The sequence below is a fragment of the Homo sapiens genome, chromosome 1 (assembly GCF_000001405.40).
Source record: "Homo sapiens chromosome 1, GRCh38.p14 Primary Assembly".
NCBI classification, from domain to species: domain Eukaryota; kingdom Metazoa; phylum Chordata; class Mammalia; order Primates; family Hominidae; genus Homo; species Homo sapiens.
In genome coordinates, this window is record NC_000001.11 from 189,653,005 (window position 1) to 189,678,766 (window position 25,762).

Genomic DNA, 25,762 nt, shown 5'->3' on the forward strand with positions numbered 1-25,762 from the left:
AGATAGATAGATAGATAGATAGATAGATAGATAGAAAGATAGACAGATATAGTTTTTCTAAGAGAAAATATATAGTTAAGAATATGTTTTTTATCTCTTGCTATAAGATCTCCCAATATAAAATAGTGTTCAAATCAGAAAGAGTTACATTCAAAAAATTGGCTTTAGTTTTTCAATTTTCTTACTACTCCTATCTATGTACCTTATTATCATAACAATTTTCTGCTTTGTTCTGTTAGGCATTGTTTTTAGACTTTCTAAGTAGGTCTTAGTTTTAATAATCAACCCCCCTACACATTCTTTCAATAGACGTTTCATGGGGTCTTTTTAGATATTTAGAGAGGAGAAAATAGGAAAGAAAAGCAGTTTAACCCTCAAAATTTTTTTAAGAAAGAAAGGACGACTAATACCATAAAAATTTTGGTAATGATTCTCCTATATACTCTTATTATTGTTTCGATATAATTTACCCTCAAAAAGTCTCTCATTACACCTTCCTATTTTCCTTGATCTCCTTGATTTAAATAAGTGTAAAAATCTCTAGTCCCCAAGATGTATTGTTCTCAGGTCTCTTCCTTGGAGATAACATTCAGGAAACTGATAATGCAGAACACAAATATTCCGTTTGTGTTTATAACGACCTTCCCTTCTGTGAGTATGAATGTACCGACCAAACTCCTAGCTAAGTCCCTCCATCTGCTGGTACACTGGATTCCATCCTCTCTTGTCTAAAGAAGATCATTATCCTACTGTTTTCTTATCTTCTTCCAGCACATTTTTTTTTCTCCTACTTGGTTTTAATTCTTAGCACACTAACATAACATATGACATTACTTCTCTTAACATAAAAAACTTGACAGTTTTTTCGTCCAACTAGTGTCCTTTTTTTCTTCATCTGTTTATAGAAAAAATCTTTGAAATAGTTTGTCTCTACATACTATCATCTATTTTACAAATCGTGTTCTCTCTTATACCCATTCCAATCACATGTTCACTTACCTGACTCTGCCTTGTCAATGTCATTATGATTACCACACTGCTAAATCCCATGAGCATTCACTTGATCTAGGAACCTCATTACAAACAGTTGTCCAATCTCTTTCAAAAGGCTATATTCATTGGACCTCCAGGGTATACCACTTTTGTTTCAGTTTTCTTTCTATCTCTCTGGGAGTTATTAATATTTCTTAATCTCTTTTTCTGATTCTTTCTTATGTCCTTCATTTTTTAATGTTGCCATCATTAGATTCAGAATGTCTCTTTTTTTCTATTTACTTTCACTCTCTAACTGATCTCATCTAGTTTCATGATTTTATGTGCCAAAAATTTCTGAATTATAATATCCAGCTTGGGTTGCTATGCAGAGGACATATTTTCTTATATATTTTGAGCACCTCAGCAAGTTCTTCCCTGCAATTTAAAAATATATTTTTATATTTAAAACATATCTTTATGTTAATGCCATCTTTCTTAATGCTATGATCATCAAAGTTCTCTTGTTTGTTTGTTGGTGTGTTGGTGGGGAGGGGAAGTGTGGTTGCATGTGTGTTTGCTCATCTTTCATAAGAATCTATGCTCAAAGTTGAGCAACATAAAATTCTGTGCATTCGATTTGATCCCTATTATTGTCTTCATGAGTACTACTCCATTTCAAATCTGAAAGAACTCCCCTTTCACATCTGAAAACAATAGACTATTTTATATATTGCACCTCTAGCCAAATTTTTTATGTCAATCAGATGCATATCTAGTGTAATTTTGCCAGATTAAAGAAAAATATATTCCTGAGGCAGGAGCTTTATTTCAAGATTGTGGGTTAGAATCTTTAATTCTTCTTCCTAAATATGTGATGAAAATTTTTTTATTTTTCAAGATATACTGCTATGTGTCCTCTTGCTTTGAGATAACATTCAGAAAACACAATACAGGACACAATTTTCCCCTTTTGTCTTTATTCTTCCTAAGTAAGCCTATAAGTAGATGTTAAAATGGAAGTATGTGTTTCAGGGAGCAGCAGGAATATCTCTGATGAGTCAGAAAGCACTTCTCTTCAGTACATATGATGTAGATTGCATAATCAAGAGCACAGATTCTGGGGCTAAAAGAGGGAGGTATAGTGCAAGAGGAGGTTTATAAGCTTGCTTCCTTGCTGTCTCCCTTCAATGATCAAATGTGTATCAACCACTTCAGTCTGTCAGGTTGATTGACCCTAAGGGGAAATAGCTTATATTGTACCAAATCATCAGTTAGCATGCTTACTTCCTTTTTTTTCATGAATATTCATGACAATTTGAAACACAAGCAATGTCACTAAACTACATAGATAGTAGTACTGTAAAAGAGTATTAAACATTTTACAGCATACATTAATGATACAAAATATGTGGAAGACCAGATTAATTTACTCCTGCTATTGAAAATAGGAGAAAAATATCAGAATCAATATTGCTAATGTGATTTTGTTTCAGTATGTTTCACACAGTTATTTATACTGCTGAAAAAAGATTTACACTGTTTCAATGATCACTATTTTTTCAAATTTCCTCCAAGATGTTTATATTCAGTAAATCCACAAGTGTGTTGAAACTTTAATAAAATGTATGGATAAAATATGCAATTTCTGTTTGTTTCTTTGAAGACTTTCAAAGTCAAAACAAATGGAGTCTAAGCTATGCACTGTGATAGATTTACTAAAATATTGTATCCCAATGCAGATAAAGGGCAAACTATCAGCTTACCACAGTTGTGTCTTAAGAGATAGCCAGAATTTGCTCTCACAACTTCTAAATATCTTTATAGACTTCTTCTTAATCATAAAACTTATGGTAATTTTTATTTTATTTATCATAAATCTATACTTAATTTTTTTATTAAATTACTATTATAAGGTACTGATATTTACTGTGTTCTCAGCCATATATCCCATCTGTCTCAACACTTAGCAAATCGTTTGATCGCTAACTTGTTAAATGTATTATTAGTTACTCCTCAAATATATAAAGGCAACCCAGCTGCATTGTATGCTAATGATAGCATTTCCTTTCAAAACTTCTTGCATGTTAATAATGAAACATAAACTAAAATAACCTCTAAAACCCAAAAAGATACTGTCCAGTATTGTGTCCTACAAAGGAATTTCTGTAATAAACCTAAGCAGTGTAATGCTAATAAATATGAACATGGATGCTGGAGCTAGGTTATATGTGTTTATACTTCATGCCTGTGTAATATTGAAGACATAAAACTCCCTGAGCAGCAGTTTTCTCATCTATGAATACAGTCTTTATTTTCTTTCACAGTAATTGTCTAAATTAAATGAGTTAATATATGTAAAGATCTTAGAAAAGTGTTTTGCAACTTGTAGTTCAAATATATATTATCATCATCATCATCATTATGGAAATAAACTTTTCAACACATTGTTTACGTAACATGGAAAAGCCGTCATGTTGTGCTTATTAAATATGCCAAAAATTAAATTGATGCCATGTGATGCTAAATAGAAAGGAAGCACATTCAAAAGTAATCAAATAATCAAAAAAGATTAAGAAAAGTGTAGTTTTCAAAATACACTTTTTTAACAAAGAGGAATTTGAGTCTTTAATATTCTACAATTGAAATGAATTTCAAGATATTGAATCAAAAATCTAACCTACTTTGACCAAAGAACTCTCTTGCAAGACCAGTGTTTCGAAGCTAATTCATTTCAGAAAGAATGTCACAGAACATGCCCAGAATTTAAATAGCACTAGTGTTTGGTTTTTAATATTAATCTTTATTAATTTCATCTTAAATGACCACAAGAGATGTCTGAGTCAGAGACAGATATCTTATTAAATTCCCCATAGTAGATAATAATTTGTCAGCCCTTCATTGTTTTAGACATTTTCCTCTAGGCAATATAATGAGAAATGATGAAAATGTTTCCCTACAGAAGTAGCTGGACACTTCACAGATTAAGGATGAGAAAAAAATAATTTTCCCTGCTTTATAGAGGAATAAGGCTGTTGCTGCTCCCCTCCCTTCCTGAAAAGGTCTCCATGGGATTGTAATGGCTCTGAGTCCTAATTCCAAACCCTTGATAGCGAAATAAAATCTTTCCAGGGGCCAGACGGTCCCCTGCCTCTTAGCCTTTAAAAACATAAGTTGTTTCCAAGTTCTGATGCTTCACTGATTTTGACAGGGTAACTCTTCATTCTTCTTGATACCCTGAGGTTGAATTTAGGGATCTATTCTGGACACTAACAGTTGACTCATTCCTTGACATAAAAGAAAATGTATTATCTATTTGGATCAGAGCAATTAACTAGACAAAAGCATAGAGATCTGATCCTTAGGACAGGAAGCTTGGGGTTTTTACGGAATAGTAGGGAATCCAAACAGGCATTTTTCTTTCATAAATGTATTAAGTCGATTCTGAAAATTAAATAAAGTGGCAATATTAAGAGCATACCTCATAGACAGAGAAACAAGAAAGTGTTTTTGCTTGAGTAGTTCTAATAGGAAATATCCTACTCTTCAAACAAAAATTTGTAATTTGAGAGTTACTGTAATTTACCTCTAGCAAACAGGGAGTTTGTGGATTGTGATGAATAAAAAGGTATCACAAATGTTTCTGTCACCCATTTTTCTCTTTACAGAACTATGTGATGCCCATAACAATTAAAATTTTTCCTAAATTTAGAACTTTAAAACAAGACATTTGTTTCACAATTATCTGATCAGGAATTCAAGAGTAAATTTGCTGGATGATTCTGGCTCCAATTTTTTCATGATGTTGTACTCACGCTGCCTCATGAAGCCTCCACTGGGGCAAACAGTGGGGAGAAGCTTCTACATTTACTCATAGTCCGTCATCAGGTAGGTTTTCCAGAGGGAGAGAGAGAGAGGATATCACAACATGAAAGCCACTGTCAATAAATTCAGCCTACACTGAAAGAAAGAGGATTACACAAGAGCAGGAATGCCAATGTGGCAAGTAGAGATCCTAGATCCTGCTACATTTCATATTTGGACTCGGCTAAATGTGGCTGTCATTATAGGCTGTACGGACGCTCACCCAGAAAGTATTTGGTAATAGCTGAAGCACCTAAGCGAAAATGGGTTGCAATTTTGAAATTATTGTTATATTAGTTTATAAATCTTAAAATATCCCCAAATTACATAATACATATAAAAGCTTTGAAATCGAGTCCTATGTTTTTTTTACAGATAATATTTTCCAACATCTGTAGAATCTAAAATAGTAACTCTATCTCCTAATTTTAGCAAATGATCTTTTATAATTTTGTTTTAAAATTTGTGTAACAGTACACCAGAGGATATGACAGCCTAATATTTTCAGTTAGTATATCTTTCCAACACAGTAGTCCCACCTAATCCGAGTTTGCTTTTGCAGTTTGTTATCCAAGGCCAATGTCTGTCTGAAAATATTAAATGAAAAATTCCAGAGATAATCAATTTATATGTTTTAAATTGCATGCTTTTCTGAGTAGTGTGATAAAATCTTTTGTCATCTTGTTCTGCTCCGTCCCACCCAGGATGTGAATCATTCCTTTGTCTGTCATATTCATGCTGTCTACTGCCTGTCAGTCAATTAGTAGCCCTCTGTGTTATCAAAGCAACCATTGTGATACCACAGTTGTTACATTCAAGAAACTCTTGTTTTATTTAATAATGGGCCCAAAGTGCAACAGTAGCGATACTGGCAATTAACATATGCTAGAGAGAAGTTGTAAGCTACTCATTTTAAGTGAAAAGGTGAAAATTTGTCACAAGCAGGCCATGTATAGAAAAAAAGTATTGAATATTGAGTTTGATATTATCCGGAGTTTCCAGCATCCATTGGCGGTTTCTTGGAACATATCCCTCATGGATAAGGAAGGACTACTGTATTCTGAATAGATTTTAGGAGAAGTAAATTCACGATTGACATATAAAATAATTTAGCCTTAGAATTTAAATAGACATATATCCTCTACAAATTAAACACAAATGTGATAATCTATGGTCACTTTTCCTTATACTTATGCCAGCTCAGTAATGACTGGTATTGATTTGCTGAAGTTCAAATTTTGAATTACAGTTTTCTTTAAATAGGGCTCATATTAATAAGAATATGCTCAACTTTGGTGTGCTGTATCAGTAAATATTCAAATTAATTGCACAGAGAGTAGTAATAATTTTATAAAGATTAATGCAATTTTTTTTCCAGAAATGCTATAATCTCTCTATTTTCTATTGATGAAGGGACTGATAAAAAGGATAGAAACCAAGAAATGAAGAAAGCTTTGGAAAGTTTTCCTATTAAATTCAATGTAAAACTTAATAAAAATAAATAAATATAAACATTGATCAAGGGCTACGATGAGCCCAGGACTCTGTTTTAAGACAATATCACAGAAACTTTTGCAATAATGACAATACACAGAAAGTCTACTTATGGGCTAAAAAAATAAAATTTGAAGTTCTTCGTACTGTATTCAAGGATCTCCACAATTAAAACACACTTTCCAGACTCCTCAGCCTCATTTTTTATGTCTCTGCTACAACCAATCTACTTTAAAACAAAAAAATAAACCACTGTCGATTTCTTACAACCTTCCCAGATTTCTAATAGTATTGTCTTTATAGTGTTAGGCTTACCAGGAATTAATTTTTTCTCTTTTCTCCACATTTCCAAATCTGATCTTTATTTTAAGAAACACATTTTTATCTGCAGGTGCACTTAGGAATGAACTCTTCCTTAAGTGGAATTTCGTGACATTTTATTTGGATTTCTATTAAGATACCAATTATTTTCTAATTTGTGTTTTAGTTAATTTGCCATGTTTCCTGTTTCTGATTGAAAGCTATGTGAAGTTGAAATTCACATCTGGGCTCTCTCTGTGTCTTCATAATGACGAGAATTGCTTTGTAAATCCTGGGTGATTCATACATTTGTATTGCATACCTGAGCATAGGAGCCATCATACTGCTTGCCAACTTGATCATTTTATAAATTGAACAATATTGATTGGACCAATATAGAGTCAGAATTTTTACTACTCAAATACAGCACAAAACATGTTTTAAGGTTCTCCAGTGTTGGCATAAAGCTGGAAGATATATAATTAATTGGTTCCATTAAGTAGAATATATAAAGCAAGTGATAAGAAGTATATCTTTACAAATTCATGAGAACAAGTGAAAAAAAAAACATAGTTTATAAATTTAGGCACCAAAGGAATACCTACACAAGAATAGATTTGGCCCTTTTGTGTGTTTGTTAGTAATAAATGTCCTGATCCCAAACAAATTACATCAGTAAGATTTACATCAAATGATTTAAATAATTAATTTATATTCCAACATAGGACTCGTGTAAAATAAATGCATGATCACGTAAGGTCTATTCTCTAGAGTGGCTCAAATAAAGGACATTATATGGGACTGAATAATTGAAATGGCAAATAATTCATTTAATATAGACCCATTAGATTTATTAAATGCTAACTTTATAGAAATTGTCACCTAATACCATAGAATGATCATTGCAAAAGCAGAGAAATGTGAAGATACAGAGAGAAGAATATTGAGAGTCACTTGTAAACAACTTACATTTACATGCTCTCACTTGAGCATATTTTTAGTCTGGAAATAATTACAGTATTTCCAAATGCTTACAACCTAGTATGTGTGTGTTCTGTGGCAGATTAGTCACTGAGTTATATTTTCCTATTTTTCTATGGGTATAATCTAAAGTCAATGCAACATATATTTTTTCTCAATGATAATTGTAATTTTTGATTATTTAAAAATATTATATGTAGGCAGCAGACATCTTGAGCTACTGAAATTTTTATCACTTGGAGGTATATGTAAGGATTGTTCATCATAATGTTGTTGGTCTCTACTGGCAGATACTCTAGGAGTAAAATGCGAAGTGGAATTATATCCTGTATTCAATTTTACTTTTAAATGTCACTTTACTTACAACAAGTATAAGACTTTAGTTGTTAAACCATCAATAAGAGTTTGAATCAAATGACCGTAGAAGCCTGTGGGAATAGAAATAGACACTGCTAAATAATCAGAGATGATGTGGATGAAATGAGTAATAACAAATATAGAAATGGTGATATAAACCTATTAACAAGCTCAAGTGGTCATTTCAGACTAGCTAACAATTAAGGTTACAGAGTTATAGAGATAAGAAATAATGTTCATGCACTAACTGACACATTTTAGTGCTTAATAGACATAGCCATTATATTTGCATACCAGCCAACAAACAAACACAAATAATAGTTATCATTATCATTATCTCTTTGCTTATTATTACTGTGAGAGCTTGGAATGTAAAATAGCTTATGTCTCTTACAGTTTTGAGTTTTTATATTTGTGTTAACACATTAGCTTTCCTAAACAACTTTTTAAAGTATTAATAAAATACATGTTAATAAATGTTCAAGTGAAAATCTATAAATTATATATTTTATATTCAACTTTAAGAGTGAAATAATTATAGTGTTTAAGTTTTATTTTATTAACACTAAAATTTTGATTATGCAGTCTGATATCCATCTAGTAAGATTTGAACAATTGTTTAGCAATGTTAGGTAAAGGGTACAGGATTATGAGAATTTCAATTTAAAAAAACAATATGGCATTTAGACTAGTAAAAAAAGTATACTTAGTTTGAAGTAAATTATTTAATAAAATTTTAATAATTAAAAAGAATTTATTAACATGTAATAAAATTTCCCTGGATAAGTTTAATATATTACACAAAAATTATTGTCTTCCACAAACATTTAATATGTATCTTCTTTGGACAGTCATATAATTAAAACAGATGTTTGATTTATTGATAGAGTGAATAACAGGTATATGAAAATAAAAGAAGTTTCTTGCTATTTGCAAGCGACAACAGATCACTTAAGTCTATGCTCCAAATTTCAAGATGTTGTCTGTGAAATCATAGAAAAAATGTAGACAAAAAACATGCTTGTATATGTGACCAATTTCAACATTTTGTAGCTGTGGAAATCCAAGTAGAAATTGAGTGTATTCTCCAACATCCAACAGATGGTTGAAAGCTGAACTTTCTCATTCTCAGTTTAGTATTAGATCATCGTTAATTGAAGAACTACTCTGATTTTTATTTTCTGAAAAATAAAATATGTATAGAAACAAAATGATAAACTTCTTACTAATGTTAGATATGAGTTCTAAATTTCTTTCCAAAGAATCAATATGTAAGTATGTTCAATTCTTTGCCTTCTACTTTTAAACTTAACTTCCTCTTAAAGCAACCTTTTTTGATTACCTGCTACACCCTGACTCATTCAGATTACATACTCCACACTGACTCATTCCGATTACCTCCTCTGTCATAACCATTTTTCCCGCCAAACCACTCATCCTGTCACTCACTTTAAATTAGCCAATTGGAATTAGTTTAGCCTGTGCATCTAACACTATCCAGTAGGGGAAAGACACAGCAGCAAGGGCCATGTGCATCAGGGATAAGAACCCCTTCTCCCTAGTCCAAGTGTGCCCTCACCGTTGCTCCATCTGTAAGGGCACACCCTTCTATAGAAGTACCTTGCCTTGCTGAGAATTAAAACAAAAATTTTATATTCGAGTGCTATTTCTTTCACGGCACCAAAACTTTATATATAACACTAATTTCATAAAGTAAATATAATTAATTACTCACTTTACTATCTATGTATTCAGATTCTCTCCTGATACTGTTTTAGTCATACTTTATAAGGAATACATATTATTTAGTTGATAATTTTTCCTACAGAAAAAATATCTTACATAAGAAGTAGATATGGGTGTTCAGATCTAATAGTCAACACAGTTGATATTTTCTAAACATGTATGCATTTTGTAAAATGCAATCAGAACTTTTTTCTAGAATTTTTTACATAAATATTTTAAGTGTATATAATAATTTTATAAAATAGATAATTTTTTAGCATCAATTAACATTATAATTAAAGTCATTAATTTATAGAAGAGTTTTAAAATATGGAGAAATTATTAGGATATATACATTTGACTGTTGGTGCTGTTTTCATTAAGAGGTGGAATATAGTCAGTTTATTTTCTCTATAGGTATTTATTACATTAACTGAAATAAGCCAGTCACAGAAAGACAAGCTTCAAATATTCTCACACATTTATGGGATCTAAAAATGATCTAGAATTTTTAAGAATATTAAGATACCCATTTTATTTTTATTTTAAGTTCTGGGGTACATGTGCAGGATATCCAGCTTTATTACATAGGTAAATGTGTGCCTTGGTAGTTTGCTGCACCTATCAACCCATCACCTAGGTATTAAGTCCAGCATGCATTAGCTATGTATCCTGATGCTCTCCCTCCCCCAACCCCTTTCCCCGAAAGGCCCTGGTGTGTGTTGTTCTCCTCCCGGTTTCTATGTGTTCTCATCGTTCGGTTCCCACTTATAAGTGAGAAGATGAGGTGTTTGGTTTTCCTGCATTAGTTTGCTCAGGATAATGGCTTCCAGCTCTATTCATGTCCTTGCAAAGGTACTCAGTTTTGTAAGGCATCATGCAAAATAATTAGTAAACTCAAACCAGAAAAAAAGTATTATTGAATATTATCCTGAAGATAAAATATGAATGTTTTTGTTTGGAATTATTTCCTAAAAGATTCTTTTGTAATCTCTAATATAATTTTACATTTTTTTGGAGCATGTAGGATATTTATATTTTATTACTAGGTGCTTACTTGAACTTTTAAAATGATATATTGAAGGGAATAACTCATATTCTTGCTAATTTGACTTTCTGAAATGTACTTTTGCATTATCCTGAAAAAATTAAAATTATTTGTGAAAATCATCAGATATTGACCAAATACTGTTAACTTTTTTTCTGCTTTACTTTCTCCTGTGTTATAATTAAAGATTTGGATTTTTCTGGTTGTTTAAGAAAAACTATGTTGTTGTTTTTAACGAGGTGACCATAGACGAAAACTGACTTTCATCAATGTTTTAAGTAACTGTGCTTACATCAGGGCTTTAAGTAAGTGGAAGTAAGTAAGTTTACTGACTACTGATGTTCAACTACAATAGAATTTATTATATTGTTATAATGCTTAAAGTTATTTTTAATTTAAAATACAAGGAAATTATGATGCTAAATCTTCTATCCAAAATGAGAAACTTACCTCTATATTTATAATGATAAATCTGTAGCCAACATGCAGAAAATAGAAATAAGTTATATATTTGATTGTTTTACTTGTTTGTTTTATTTTGAGACTATACCCTCCAATTTTTTTTAAATTTTTCTACAAATACTTTACTTTTTAGTTATGAAAAACCTACACATAATCTTTTGAAAAATATATACAAGACATCAAATCTAATGTACAAATATAGTAATTAAAAGATTAGTATATTTGTTAATAATACTGTAAATTTTAATAAAGTAGAAGATATATATTCTATGTACTTTGCTCACAAGAAAGTTGGAACTATCGTTCAAAAAGTATTATTTTCTATTTACTAAGAAAATCATTGCCTTGGGGGAAAATATTATTTAGCAGTTTTATGTGTGAATCTTTTCAACTGTAATCATTCAAATGCATAACTAAATGTGAATTCTGCCTTAGGGTTAGCACATAACCAATTTGTTTCACAGGTTATCTGATTATGAGCAGATTGTCCACCCACCTCAGCTCTAATCCCTGTACATTTAAAAATAATGTCAGATACTAGAAAAATGTGTGGATCTTTTTATGGTGTCATTATGAGAGTACATGTGTTATAATTTTCTCAACTATACTTCTCTGTTTCTTAATTTCTCTCTTCTTAGAACATCAACAGCAACTGGGTTATTAGCACATTTCAGGCATATCAGGAAAAATAAGGATAACATTTTTAACAAAACGAAAAAGCAAGCAAACTCAGCTGTCAATTTTGATTTATATTTATAGAAGAACCTATGTAATATAAGCACATTTCAAAATACCATTTTGTCATTTTAAGATATTGTCTTCATATTTCACAACATCTAAGATAAAATCAGAGTTTAATATTCATTTCCAAAATACATAGACCTGCTGTCAAAAAATGAACCTTGAAAAACTCACAGCTCTTTTCTTTTTTTTCTAAAGGAGTCTCACTCTTTCGCCCAGGCTGGAGTGCAGTGGCGCTATCTCGGCTCACTGCAAGCTCTGCCTCCCGGGTTCACACCATTCTCCTGCCGCAGCCTCCCGAGTAGCTGGGACTACAGACTCCTGCCACTGCGCCTGGCTAATTTTTTTTTTTTTTTTTTTTTGTATTTTTAGTAGAGACGGGGTTTCACCATGTTAGCCAGGATGGTCTCGATCTCCTGACCTCATGATCCACCCGCCTTGGCATCCCAAAGTGCTAGGATTACAGGCGTGAGCCACCGTGCCTGGCCAGCTCTTTTCAAATGTACAAAAGAAGACAACATCGCAGAAGAGTAAGCAAAGAAAAATGAAACAGTCATCAAGAGTATTCTCTAGAATATTTTTCTATTTTATGTTCAGGTCACGATATATAAATTTAGTGCCTTTTGGGAAGATTGATATTAATAGTAGTATAGTATTTCAGACTCTCTTAGATGCAAATTTAATTAAAACTTCAGTTCATTATAAGGTTATTACTATATGAAGTCCAAGAATAGACATTCACTGAAACAGGACTCTTTGTCGCTCATTTTCTTCTCTCTGTGGGTATGCTTTATTCTTTGTATCTTGCTTAATAAAATTAGTCTTTGATTATCTTATCTGCACCACATGGGAAGAAAATGCCCATTGGCAACTTAAAAGTTCTTATCTTATGTTTCAAGTCATTATAAAGACTTTGACTGAGCTCAGGCTCAAAATCTTGGGAAATGAACTAATTAACCTAAATTTAGATCAGGTGCTATCCCTGTATCTTTCAACTAAGACCAAGAGATGAAGTCACATTGTGTAAACATGATAGCTTCTGCTTGAGCCACGGGTATGGGAAGTAATCACCAGAAAAAAAGAGGATGCTAGTATATTTTCTTGCATTTTTAGTTCCTTGACTTCATTTCAAATGACCTCTCCAATCTAACATTACCACTCACTTTCTTGTTTAGACTTTGAGACCTTGAAAACTCATTGCTTCAGCAATTGCCAGATCAAACATCCCTCTCCCTTCCAATTACTAACCATGCCCGACACTGCTTAGCTTCCAAGATCAGACACGTTCAGAGTGGTATGCCAGTAGAACAAACATCCTTCTCTATGTTTGCCTTTAGACTTCTCGGGCTTTACTTCCCACCACACACAACTTGGTTTCCATGAGCTAATACTATAAATATCCTAAATAATTTTAACATATTGTGGATGTCTCATGACACCCACCTGGCAAAACCTAACTATTGCTGAATGCAACCAATGATTTTCTTCATCCAGTACCCTACCCACTAAATGCTGCACTATGCAAATTACATAGTTTGATTGATTGGCATCCCTACACATTGTAGTAACTCTTTGTAGTGGGCGATCAACATGACCTACTTTATCTTACTAAATTTCTCTCCTAAATTTTTTCTCCAATTCTCATCAACTACCACTTTCTGCCTGTTTTACTCTTTGTATTCCCCCAGACCCCACTCTGTATGAATTGTGGGTATAATTCATATAGAATATTATAGGCAGCAAATAAAACCACTTTTACTTTCTCATGACCAAAACTGAAAATTTCCTTACATCTTCATTCATCTTCTTCTGTTCTTCTATAATGGAGACACTATCCATTCTTCTATAAAAAGCCATACCTTCCCATATACACAGTATCCTAACCACATTTGTGTTCTCAGAAAACTTGATGTGTTTATTGTCCTATATGTCTTACAAAGTAGAATTTTCCCCCACCTTGTATAATCTTTATCTGCCATCATAAACTCTCTTTGAAACTGTAGCTCCTTCCATTTAATATCCTGTTTCTTTTTTACCCTTCAGAGTCAAGCTTTATGAAAAAGTAATTCTATATTCTGTTTCTATCTGCTCGTGTTCTATTTATTCCTCAAACTTGGATCTGGATGTGGCTTCTTTCCTCACCACTCGACTTGAATTTCTGCTAGATAATTTTATGAATAAGCTTCTTGTTGTCAAATCAAATCAATACTTTGTGATCTCCCTCTTACTTACCCTTTCCTAGTTTCCATTACATCACATTCTCTTGTTTTTTTATATACATCTCTGTTTTCTTCAACATTTCTTTTACTTGCTATTTGTCCATATTCTGATTTAAACATTGAAGTTATTCAAGGCTTTTATCTAGGTCTCCTTTTCCTCTCAACATGGAATCTCAGCCAGAGATTTAAATATTCTCTACATAACAAGGCAAACATCTCATGCCATAAATATTTTTATCAGCTTCAGACATATATATTTAAGTGACTCAAAAATCTCTACTTGAATGCTATACAGATATTTCAAATACATCATTATCAAAACTGTATTACTGATACATCTTATAAATAAGCACTTTCTCCAATTTTTCCCAGGTTTTAAAATGACTCTTCTCTCCACTTATTAAGTCAGAAAACTAAGAATAATTTTAACAATTCACTCTGCCTCATATTGAAGCATCTAATATTCTACTAGACCAAAAAAAGTGTATTACGTTTATTCCATTTATTCACTTTTTAGAAATCTAAGTATTTATTTTCTCTCTTATCTTTCATATCAAATTCATCTCACCAAATCCTGTTGATTTTACCTCCTATGCTTATCTGAGCCCACTTTCTTTCACTCTTTTTCACCCTGTTACCAATCTAGGTCAAGCCACTATTACCACTGCCCTACACTGGTTAATTATCTTCTTATTAGTCTTTCCACTATTATACCTACCTAGCTACAATCCATTCTCTACAGAGTATACAGAATAATAATTTTAAACATAAATTGGCTCAATCATAGTCTGTAAACCTATTAAATACATTTTAGTTATACATGATATGGAACCTACTTTCCTCCTGACTACTTTCTCACCTTACTTTCAATGTCTAGCCACAGTGGACTTTTTCTCAGAACATCTGTATAAAAAACCTGCTCGGGGACTTGATACATCTTGCTTCTCCCGAGTAAAAATTATTTCATCTATACTTTAAAATATTAACAACTTTACCTTCTAATTTAAATGGAAATATTTTTAAGAGAGAAAGGCTTTAATTAATCACAATCCAAATATGAAAATGAGTTTATGCTGCTTTATTTTCTCATAATCCACTATATTACTACCATAGTACTCATCACAATTTGAAATTGTGTATTTAATGGGTTGCTGGTACTAAAAATAGTGTTACTAAGGTTTGTCAGTGAATAAGAGTTCAATTTCGCCAATGTGTTAGAATTTTATTTGATTTTGTGGTTTTAATTTTTTCTGTAGGTGAGATATTCTTAATTTTCAAATTTCTATGAATTACCTGGGCTACTTTTAAACTACAGGAATATCTCATTTTATTTCATTTATCTTCATTATGTTTCTCTGATATTGTGTTTTTTACAAAATGAAGGTTTGTGGCAACCTGTGTCAAACAAGTCTTTCAGTGCTATTTTTCCAACAGCATGTGCTCACTTCATGTCACTGTGTTATATTTTGGTAATTCTTGCAATACTTCAAACTTTTAGTATTATTATAACTGTTATGGTAATCTGTGATTAGTGATCTTTTATGTTATTAGCATAAGTGATTTGGGGCCCCATGTAATTTGCCCATATAAGATGGTAAACTCAATCAGTAATGTTTTTGTGTGTTCTGACTGCTTCTCTGACTGTCCATTCCCCCATATCTCTTCTCCTTTGGCCTCCCTGTTCCATTAGACTCAGTAAGATTGAAATTAGGTTATTAGCCTTATAATGGCATCAAAGTGTTCAAGTGAAAGGAAGAGTCACATGTCTCTCACTTTAAATCAAAAGCTAGGAATGGTTAAACTTAGTGAGGAAGGCATGCTGTAAAGCAAGACATGCCAAAACTAGGCCTCTTGTGCCAAAGAGTTGGCCAAATACTTAATGCACAGGAAAAGTTCATGGAGATTGTGGGGAGTCACATGGAGATTATGAAGATTACGGGGATTATAATTCAAGGTGAGATTTTGGTGGGGACACAAAGCCTAACCGTATCAAGATTATTCTACCAAAATGACATATGTACTTGCATGTTCACTGCAGCGCCATTTACAATAGCAAAGACATGGAATCAAGCTAGGTGCCCAGTGATTGGTGGATGGATAAAGAAAACGTGGTACATATAGACCATGGAATACTATACAGCCATAAAAAAACAACCAAATCCTGTCCTTTGCAGTGACATGGATGCATCTGCAGGCCGTATTTCTAAGTGAATGAACATAGGAACAGAAAACCAAATGCTGCATGTTCTACCTGTAAATGAGAGCTAAGCATTGAGCATACATGGACATAAACATGGGAACAACAGACACAGCAGACTACAATATCGGGAAAGAATGGAGGGGCTGTGGGTTGGGTTGAAGAACTGCATATTGGTTACTGTGCTCACTACCTGGGCGATGGGATCCATGCTCCAAACCTCAGCATCATGTAATATTTTCATGTGGCAACTCTGCTCATTACCTCCTATATCTAAAATAAAAGTTGAAATTTAAAAATAAATGAATAAAAATTAGACGACAACAACACAACAAAAAATTAAGTGTTGTAAAAGTATATGTATGTTAGTGTATTTTAAATCTAAAATAAAAGTACTTTGGTATGTTTTACCCTAAAATATCATTTCAATTCATTATATTTGACATGGAATTGCTATATTTTATTGAGTAATTTTAAGTTTTTGCCACATGCCAAATGGAAGAGCAGCATGTAATAAATAATTTAAATTAAATATATTATTCACATTTAATTTTAATGAATATAATGCTTTTAATTTTTTAACTGACACTGCTTCTTGAAGTAATCCAATATATAAAAGAAAAAATAAATAATTTTATCTAACAAAGTGATTCGTCACCTTGGCATGTTTGCCATTTTTGGCTGAGGAGTCACTGATGTGCGGGACTGTGCTGTGCACTGTAGAATGTTTTGCAGTATCTGTGGCCTTTATTCACTAAAACTTATTTGGGATCACTGAAAATGTCTCTAGATATTGCCAATACCCCATAAAAGACAAAATCACTCCAAATTGAGAACCTCTGCTCTTACCAAAAAACCAAATCTTTAGTAGTACTTGATTTCTGATCCCAGCTATCCTGTCAATTAGCTCTATGACCTTGGGAAATCAAATTTCTGGGCTTCAAAATATGCATAGGTAATGTGAGAAAGTTGTAATTGATAGATAATTTCAAAATTTATTTTAAGTTTGTATCATTTTTATCATGCAATTAGTCAAGACATAGATAAATAGAAAATAATCAATATATGTTGAATCCTTACATATATATACACACATATGTATATATATTTATATATACTATATATATTGAGTTACATCTTAATAAGCCATGGTATATCGAAACAAACTCATTGTAATTTGAAAATATCATAAATAAAAAATGTATTTAATGCTCCTAACCTATTAAACCTGAAGGTTAGCTTAACCTAGACTACTTTAATTATGCTCAGAATAGTTACATTATCCTGAAGTTGGGCAAAATCATCTTAACAGGAAGCTTATTTTATTATAAAGTGTTTAATATTTTATATAGTTTATTGAGTATTGTACTGAGTGTGAAAAACAGAATGTTTACATGATTACTCAAATTATGGTTTCTACTGTGTTGCTTTCACACTACCATGACATCAAAAAATCGTTAAGTCAAACTATTATAAGTAGGAGACTGTCTACATTTTATTTTTACAGGGAAAAAGACTGACTTGAATTAAGTGAAGTGAATCAGAAGAAAATGGTAATTGACATTCTACTTGATGCTTAAGGGGCTCTATTTTACATTAATATATGATTTAATGCTAAATGTCCTTGCCTAGAGTATGTGGGAAATGATCTATATTTTTTACATTAAATTTTATATATTTTCCTTAACCCTGAAGTATATTTAATATGTGTTGATGATATTTTCTCAATGTTTTGTTTTATAATTTTTGTTTTTTAAATGACAAAGGATATTGGGCATATAAAGAATCTTAAAGTGAACACTTTTCTAGTGTTGTAGTATTCTCTTAATGTTTTTCTTTTGTAGGTAGTTGTCCTCTCTTTCAATCCTCATGGTTGCATCAGGAAGAAATAATCTTTATACAACATGACACTGTTGTGCCCTGCATTGTAATACAGAAATGTTGAGAGAATCCCTGTAGCTAAACATATTTTAGTTTCTGTCTTGCTGTTCTCTTGAAAAACTATTCGGTAATCTGGCAAATGTTAAGAATGAATATGATCTTCCAGTGTACTGGAGGTAAAGAAAAAAACTCTTTAGTAGAGAAAAGGAATGAGAATAGATAATATTCTGAAAGAAGAAATAGCTGTTGAAAAGGAATTTCTGGACCCCCAGTGTTGTCCCAGACCCTAATTTTAAAAAAGCTAATTAATTTTGTGGGTAAAGAAAAAAAAATTAGCTGTCCTTCTTGTGCCGGTAGGAGTCCCCAACATTTACCCTTGTTGAAATCCTGTCTTTGCTTCTTGTTATCTGAATAACTTTGAAAAAGATTACTTAGCATCTCTAGATTGTAGCTCCCTGATCTGCAAAATGGGATTTTAAAATAAAACTGTTTATCTCAGGTGATTGTTCTAAACATTTAAAACTTCCTGTATTTCAAAGGATTTACCATGGTCCTTGTTGTTAAACTAGTGCCCAGTAAAAGTAAGTTAGGTGGTAATAAGATAACTTAGTAAGAACAAGTATATGCTCTAGTCAAGTATGAAGCTGGCTCCATGTTAACTAATTGGGTGATTTTGAGGCAGTTCCTTATCTCTCTAAGCCTTCAGGTCTCCTTCTATAAAATGAGTTTATTAATAAAACCTGCCCCATAGGGTTCTTATGAGAATTAAGTTACTTTAATTAAGTTCTGTCACATAACAAAGAGTCGGTAAATGGTAACATTATTGCTATAATCACAACATTTGGCTCTAACTCTACCAAGTCCTTACCCCAGTTTTTGATGAGGCTGTGGTATGGTGTCCTGTGTCTCTTTGATGTGTCAGCCATGCAACTCTGGGATCTCTCTCTCCTTCTAGAACTTTCACACTCTTTATGTCTCAGCAATTCAGCTTGAGAGAGAATCCCTCTCTGACCTTCCTATATAAGTTAGAATCTCTGTTATGATCCATTTCTTCCTGTGTTTCCTTCAGAGCAGTCATCACAATACCTGTTTTATTTACTGTCTTCACTGTTTCTCTTCCACTAAATTGTAAGTTGCATGGCGAGAGAAAGCATGCATGTCTTGTTTATTGAGAAAAATGGTTGACATATATTGACACTCAAAAGTGTTTATGGAGTGAATAAATATGTATTTTCTAAATCAGTAAAATTTAAGAAAGCTTGCCTGCTCACATGACCCAAATTGTCTTTTTAATGAGCTTGAGGCTTGAGGATTGGCATGTATTGTTTTTAATTGTCATAATTTTTTTTTAATAGAGGCAGGATCTCTCTGTCACCCAAGCTGGAGTGCTATGGCGTTATCATAGCTCACTGCAGCCTCGAATTTTGGGGCTCAAGCAATCCTCTTACCTTAGCCTCTTGAGTGTCCATGCCCAGCTTTTTTCTTTTTTCTTTTTTTTTTTTTTTTTTTTGGTACATACAGAGCCTCAATGTGTTGCCCAGCTGGCCTCGAACTCCTGGCTCAAGTTATCTTCCTGCCTTGGTCTCCCAAGATTCTGGAATTACAGGCATGAGTGTGAACCACTGTGCCTGGAATTGGCACTTTTTTTTTTTTTAATAAAGTCTTTGCTTATATACAACCAAGTAACTCTGTTATATCATCATATAAAACAATAAAGAAACTCTGTTACAATATCATATAAAACAAGTTTATAGTCTCAGTAAAAAAAGGAAGATAATTTCTGTAATGGATAGTTTTGATTATGTATCTAACTTCACCAAATTATGCAAAGAGACTAATCACATAAAATATCCATATATAAATATTTTTCTTTGATTCCTTTTTCATGTAATAACTGATGTCTTTATTACTCCTTTCTTTAGTTCTTTCTCCTTTCCTTTTTTATTTTTGGTGGTTATAGCATAGCATAAAAATCAAGAGATGAAAGTAAGTAATTGCCACTCTTTTTCTTTTTCCTTTGATGGACAGTCAGAAAAAGAACATTATCACAACCAGGACAAAACTGTGACTTATGGCAGGGTAAAGAATCAAACGTTTAGGAAAAAGAGCTTATGGAAAGCTTCAGGCTCTCAGAATTTGCAGCAGCAGTTCCAACTTGCAGATGGCAATAATTTTAGTAACTGCTGCCACCACTTGGCCCCAGACAATCACAAGAACACAGGAGACAGCCTTGGATAAAATTTATTGAGTTCGGTGAATTTATTCCAGAAACTTCTTATTATCCTTAATGTCTGTTTTGTTTGGCAAATATGACCTATTTAGTAGTCAAATACATTAGCAAAAAGTTCCACACTTTCTCTATTTTATTTTCTTAATGGCTACAAAGCTGTCTCTGTAGTTGAATTCCTGAAAGATGGGTATCGATAAACTCTATATTCTCCCTATATTGATATATTTCAAAGAGTTTTAAAAGCATATTTCAATCTTATTAAAATTTTAATACTATTTAAATATCGTGTACTTTTTAGAATGCTGAAAGTGTTTAGAACTTTTCCCTCCATGTGTTATAGTACTTGCTAGGTTTGCTGCTTTACTAACATGTGCAAATTCAGATTATAATTTATACCTAATTGTAATATGCCAACTACAAAAAAAAGTAAAGTATACTCTTTCATTTCCACATACATTCTATGCTTGAAATATTTTTTCAACCTTTTTTTGATTAAATTTTGCCCTATAAATATTTCATATCATCCAGATGTTATTTCAAATCTCATTATGTTTAGCTCATTCTTGTGTTTAAATTTCACTCTATTAGATCTTCTTTTATAAAACATAAAAAAGTATTATTTGTTTTGGAGGATACAGTTTAAATTGAGTTCTTTCAAGTATACTCACACAAAAATGTATTACTATTCATACAATATTTAATCTTGCAATTATATTTGAATGTTTTTTCACAGATGCTAGTAGTTTGAACTTTATTATTTTGGACACAGAAAAGGAATTTATTTCTATAGTTTTACTAACACATATAATATATACAACATTTTAAAAGTGATACAGTGATTTAAAAAGCATTTTTGGGAGATGAGTGAATTATATCTATGTTATACCTATACTATAATTATATGTACGCTATAAACACCTTATAGAAAGGAGCTGTTTCAGACACAGCCAATCTTAATATCCAGTATTCTGGGAACATTTCCTTATTCACTTAACCTAAGTTGAGCACCCCTCCATTACTGCAGTTACCAGACTGCATTTCCATTACTTTGTTAATTATTTGTATCCCCAGTAGGACTTTAACTTTTTGTGTGAAGTTCTTAGGTAATATTCATCATTTACTTCTGGCTTACAAAATACCTGGGATGTAAGAGATAGTATTTTTTGTTGAACTGAATTGAAATCTCCACCATGTCTGTTACAGTGACTTGCATATAGTTTATTTAAAATGTGTCTCACTGCCAAGGAAATAAAGCTACATACTTTCATTGTACTTTCTTTTCTTGAATACTTGTAGAAAATTACTTTATGTAGTATTAATCTCATAGACACTATAATTTTTTCATAAATTTTATTTTTAAGTTTAAAGAAAAATATTTACTAAAAGATTAAATTGACTTTGGGAGGCTGAGGCAGGAGGATTGGTTCAGCCCAGGAGTTCGAGACTAGCCTGGGCAATATAGGGAGATCCTGTCTCTATGAAAAAAATTAATAATAATAATGATAATAAAATTGAAAAACCATATATAAAAATCTTTTAACATATTTAAATGTGTTTTTTCTAGGCTTAATTTATTTGAAATTTTTCTAAACAATATTTTTCTTCATATACAGACTAATAAACTTCTATTAAAATTATACCTATGTAAGAGGGGGAAAACTAATTCAATTAATTTTTACTGGAATTTAAAAAATATTTGAAACTAATACTTTGATTTGTTCTATTTTCTGAAATCATAGGATTGAAGGGAAAAGGGATGGGGGGCATGTAAAAAAGAGCCAAAATATAACCAACTCTCTTAATGCCACATATTTACATGACATCTGTGGTATTGCAATAAGAATGTAATGTTAAATGCAAGTACATTATTGTATGTCTGACATCATCTACATATGTTATAATTTTTTTTTTTTGCTGTTGGAACAATTGAAAATAGATCATGGAGTAGTTCACTTGCTAGGAAATATTTTGAAATCAAAAGCCAAAAGGAAGTTCGGAGACTCTGAAAATCCTCCTCATATAGATCTTAATAATTCTTGCAATTATGTTTGCTACATTTTGAATAATTCTAAAACTGCCAAGCAGAATCTCAAATGTGATAGATGGTATTTGTGGCTGGGAATATGTTAAAATATGTAGCTGGCATTCATTAAATTGTGATGCTTCTCTTACATAATAAAAATAAGATCATCATGAACCACAAGCTGAGTGAAATGCATTGTGAAGTGGCTCATCTGTCTTCCACATGGTAGCAGTATACATAACTGGTTTCTTAACTACAATTTACCTGCCATGAGTAAATTGAGACTCTCTAAAATGTCCTTGAAACACTCGAACATTTACCTCTATGGGACTCCGAGAGGGGATTATGGTTCAATTCTTAATAATTGCATTGTTGCTACCTATATTTCAGTAATGCTGGCTTCGATAGCTAGGTGAAGAGAGTTATCCCCAGGTGAAATTGTTCTTAGTAAAATCTGTGTCAGCATCAGTGCACTACTGAATATTGCTCTCTCAGTTTAACAGACCGCAGCATTTGTGGGATATGATGCAGTTATCTCAGTCACATATTTCTTAACAGTGGGGAGGATATGAAAGGTGATGACAGCACGAAGAAGGCTTATAAGTGCGAGTAATGGAGGAGATTTAAATGCAAGGAACACTGTAAATGAAATATTAATCACAAGCTGCCAGTGATAAATATTCTTTTTTGGTTATTATCTCCTTTTCTAAATGAAGCTACTTGTATTGAGGAGTACTGTTCACATTTTACTTCTTTGATCCCACACTCGTGTCTTAGCAATCAAATTAGTAAGATCCTGATGCTTTGTTTCCAATTAGTTTGAAATTTTTTATATTCCTAGAAATCTTATTCACATAATTCCACAAGGGGCTTGTTTATCTTATCCTAAAATAAGTTGAAACCATCTTACTATTGTTTTAAAAAATTTATTTGTAGAGCTAAATTATTCATATGTCTTCCCATCAGCATATATTTAACCTTTATGTAATGGGAACAAAGAGGATATAATAAACCAATGTATCTAATTTCTATCACATTTATTCCAGATTAACAAAAGTTAAATTTGCTTTTTAACAGTGTGATTTATCTTAATTGTTCTTAAAAATTAGGATGTTAAGTAATCTCTAGATTCTTCCTTTGCCACTTTTCTTAGATATTATACGACGTGGGAGAATAGTTTATTTTTCCATTTCTTTCTGTAGTTCCATATGGGCAAGAAATTGTGACTAGCAAAATTGGCACTATGTATATCACTATTCTTATTTTAGAGCTTAGTGGTAATCACCTGTAGAAGGTATGGCTTCTCAAGTCTGGGAAAAATAGAAAAAAATAATTAAAGGAAGCAATAATTTCAGAACAGCTAATGTTGGGGCACAGACACTGATACTCAAAATATGGCACTTTGACATGATAACTGAAGACCCTCAAGATCTGTCCTACTCTCCACCATTCCTGTCTCTCATTCCATTGTCTCCCCCAAAGCACAGGATGAAGTTTTTCCTGGAAGTTTTCTTATCTGCCTAAAGTCAGGAACTGCCAAAGAAGAGAACACTTATCTCTTGTCTCTTGCTTGAGTTTTCATTAGTTAAACTCATATTATAGATTAGAATGAGGAGTATCAACAAACTTGGACAAATTTTTGTCACTAGTCACTGTCTGCTCTGTGTGCCCCACAAATGTTGTCCTGGTTCATCATATGTTCTTTAACTCCAATGAATTATTTTAATAATCCTTTACTGTACTATTCCCCTAAAATCATCCACACTTCCCTATATTCTTTTCCCCTAAGAGGAGAGGTATATGAGCATCTGTACTGATATTGAAAAATCACCTTGTGATTTCCCATGTGCATGCTAATAAATTTGTATGCCATTTCTTCTATTAATCTGCCATTTGTATGTTTATTTTTCAAGAAAACTTCAGAGGGTAAAAAAGTTTTCCCTTGGCCCCTATACTTTATTTGCTTTTGATCTAAGCCTGACAAGGACAGTCCACAAAACATTGCCCAAGAATCCCCAGAGTGGTCCAGAGTAGGAATAGCACAGGCAATTCAGCTAACTAGCTTCCTACTTATGGAGAGCTTTATTTTCAAGGCTGAGGGTCAGGTTCTCATTTCCTTTGCTATGTGTTCTTGATAACTTAGTACTTAATACTTCCCCTTGCAGAATTGCCTATGAGTATAGCTTTTTTTAAACTCTTCACGTTATATAAGGCATTTTCGTATTTCTCCATCATGGCTATGAAACTGCTCTTTAGTGGAAATCACTATTGTCCCTCTGCTCAGAATCATTTTGAAAACATTCCTCTAGTTCTTAATAATTGATACCAAGATAGTAGCCAATTAATTAACATGCATTTATCTGATTAAATCTTGGTCATTTATTGGATATTTTCCCGTTGGTTTCCCCCAGCTGCTGTCTTTGCAAGAACCTTAATTTTCATTTACATATTTAAGATTAAAGATACATAAATAGAACTTTACTATTCAAAATGCTCTAGAGAGAGAATTTGGGGAAGGTGGCTAAGTAGGAAGCATTAGGAATCTCTCTTCCCAACTAGCCCAACTGCATTGGCAGAATCTGTCTGCTGTAACTTTTTAGAATTCTGGAATCTATTGAAGACTTGCAACTTTCAGGGGAGGGCTTGGATTATAAATTGCAGTTAATGTCAGTCCATTTTATCTCCTAGCATAGGAGAAACTACCTATCTCCCTCTCCCAGCCCTATGAGAGGCAGCGGTGCATGTGTTCCTGGAGCAGCTTACACAGCTGTGGGAGGCAGAGTAGGCAATAAGAACCTTGTCTTCCTAATATCAGGAATTTATGTTCTTTTTTTTTTTTTTTTTTTTTTTTTTTTTGACGGAGTCTCGCTCTTTCGCCCAGGCTGGACTGCAGTGGCGCTATCTCGACTCACTGCAAGCTCCGCCTCTCGGGTTCACGCCATTCTCCTGCCTCAGCCTCCCGAGTAGCTGGGACTGCAGGCGCCCGCCATCGCGCCCGGCTAATTTTTTGTATTTTTAGTAGAGACGGGGTTTCACCGTGTTAGCCAGGATGGTCTCGATCTCCTGGCCTCGTGATCCACCCGCCTCGGCCTCCCAAAGTGCTTGGATTACAGGAGTGAGCCACCGCGCCAGGCAGGGATTTATGTTCTAATTGCTGCTTCTGACCTCAGAGGTGAGATGAAAAGTCAAGTGGCTATTGTTGTTGCACCTTCCCCATAGTTGCAAGCCCCTTTCCCTCCAGCTGAAGTGACTCCAGTTGATCCTTTGC

The 25,762-nt window shown here is 32.7% G+C and overlaps 1 pseudogene, besides 4 other annotated features; it reads right to left on the bottom strand.

The window, feature by feature from the left end:
• Nucleotides 572–772: a silencer, noted in NCBI's record as "peak542 fragment used in MPRA reporter construct". NCBI's record gives its function as "represses an SCP1 promoter by STARR-seq MPRAs in K562 erythroleukemia cells {active_cell/tissue: K562}" and the evidence as "EXISTENCE:reporter gene assay evidence [ECO:0000049][PMID:32103011]".
• Nucleotides 1,942–2,142: a silencer, noted in NCBI's record as "peak543 fragment used in MPRA reporter construct". NCBI's record gives its function as "represses an SCP1 promoter by STARR-seq MPRAs in K562 erythroleukemia cells {active_cell/tissue: K562}" and the evidence as "EXISTENCE:reporter gene assay evidence [ECO:0000049][PMID:32103011]".
• Nucleotides 11,982–12,182: a silencer, noted in NCBI's record as "peak545 fragment used in MPRA reporter construct". NCBI's record gives its function as "represses an SCP1 promoter by STARR-seq MPRAs in K562 erythroleukemia cells {active_cell/tissue: K562}" and the evidence as "EXISTENCE:reporter gene assay evidence [ECO:0000049][PMID:32103011]".
• Nucleotides 13,145–13,252, bottom strand: RNA5SP73 (RNA, 5S ribosomal pseudogene 73; annotated as a pseudogene).
• Nucleotides 25,142–25,342: a silencer, noted in NCBI's record as "peak546 fragment used in MPRA reporter construct". NCBI's record gives its function as "represses an SCP1 promoter by STARR-seq MPRAs in K562 erythroleukemia cells {active_cell/tissue: K562}" and the evidence as "EXISTENCE:reporter gene assay evidence [ECO:0000049][PMID:32103011]".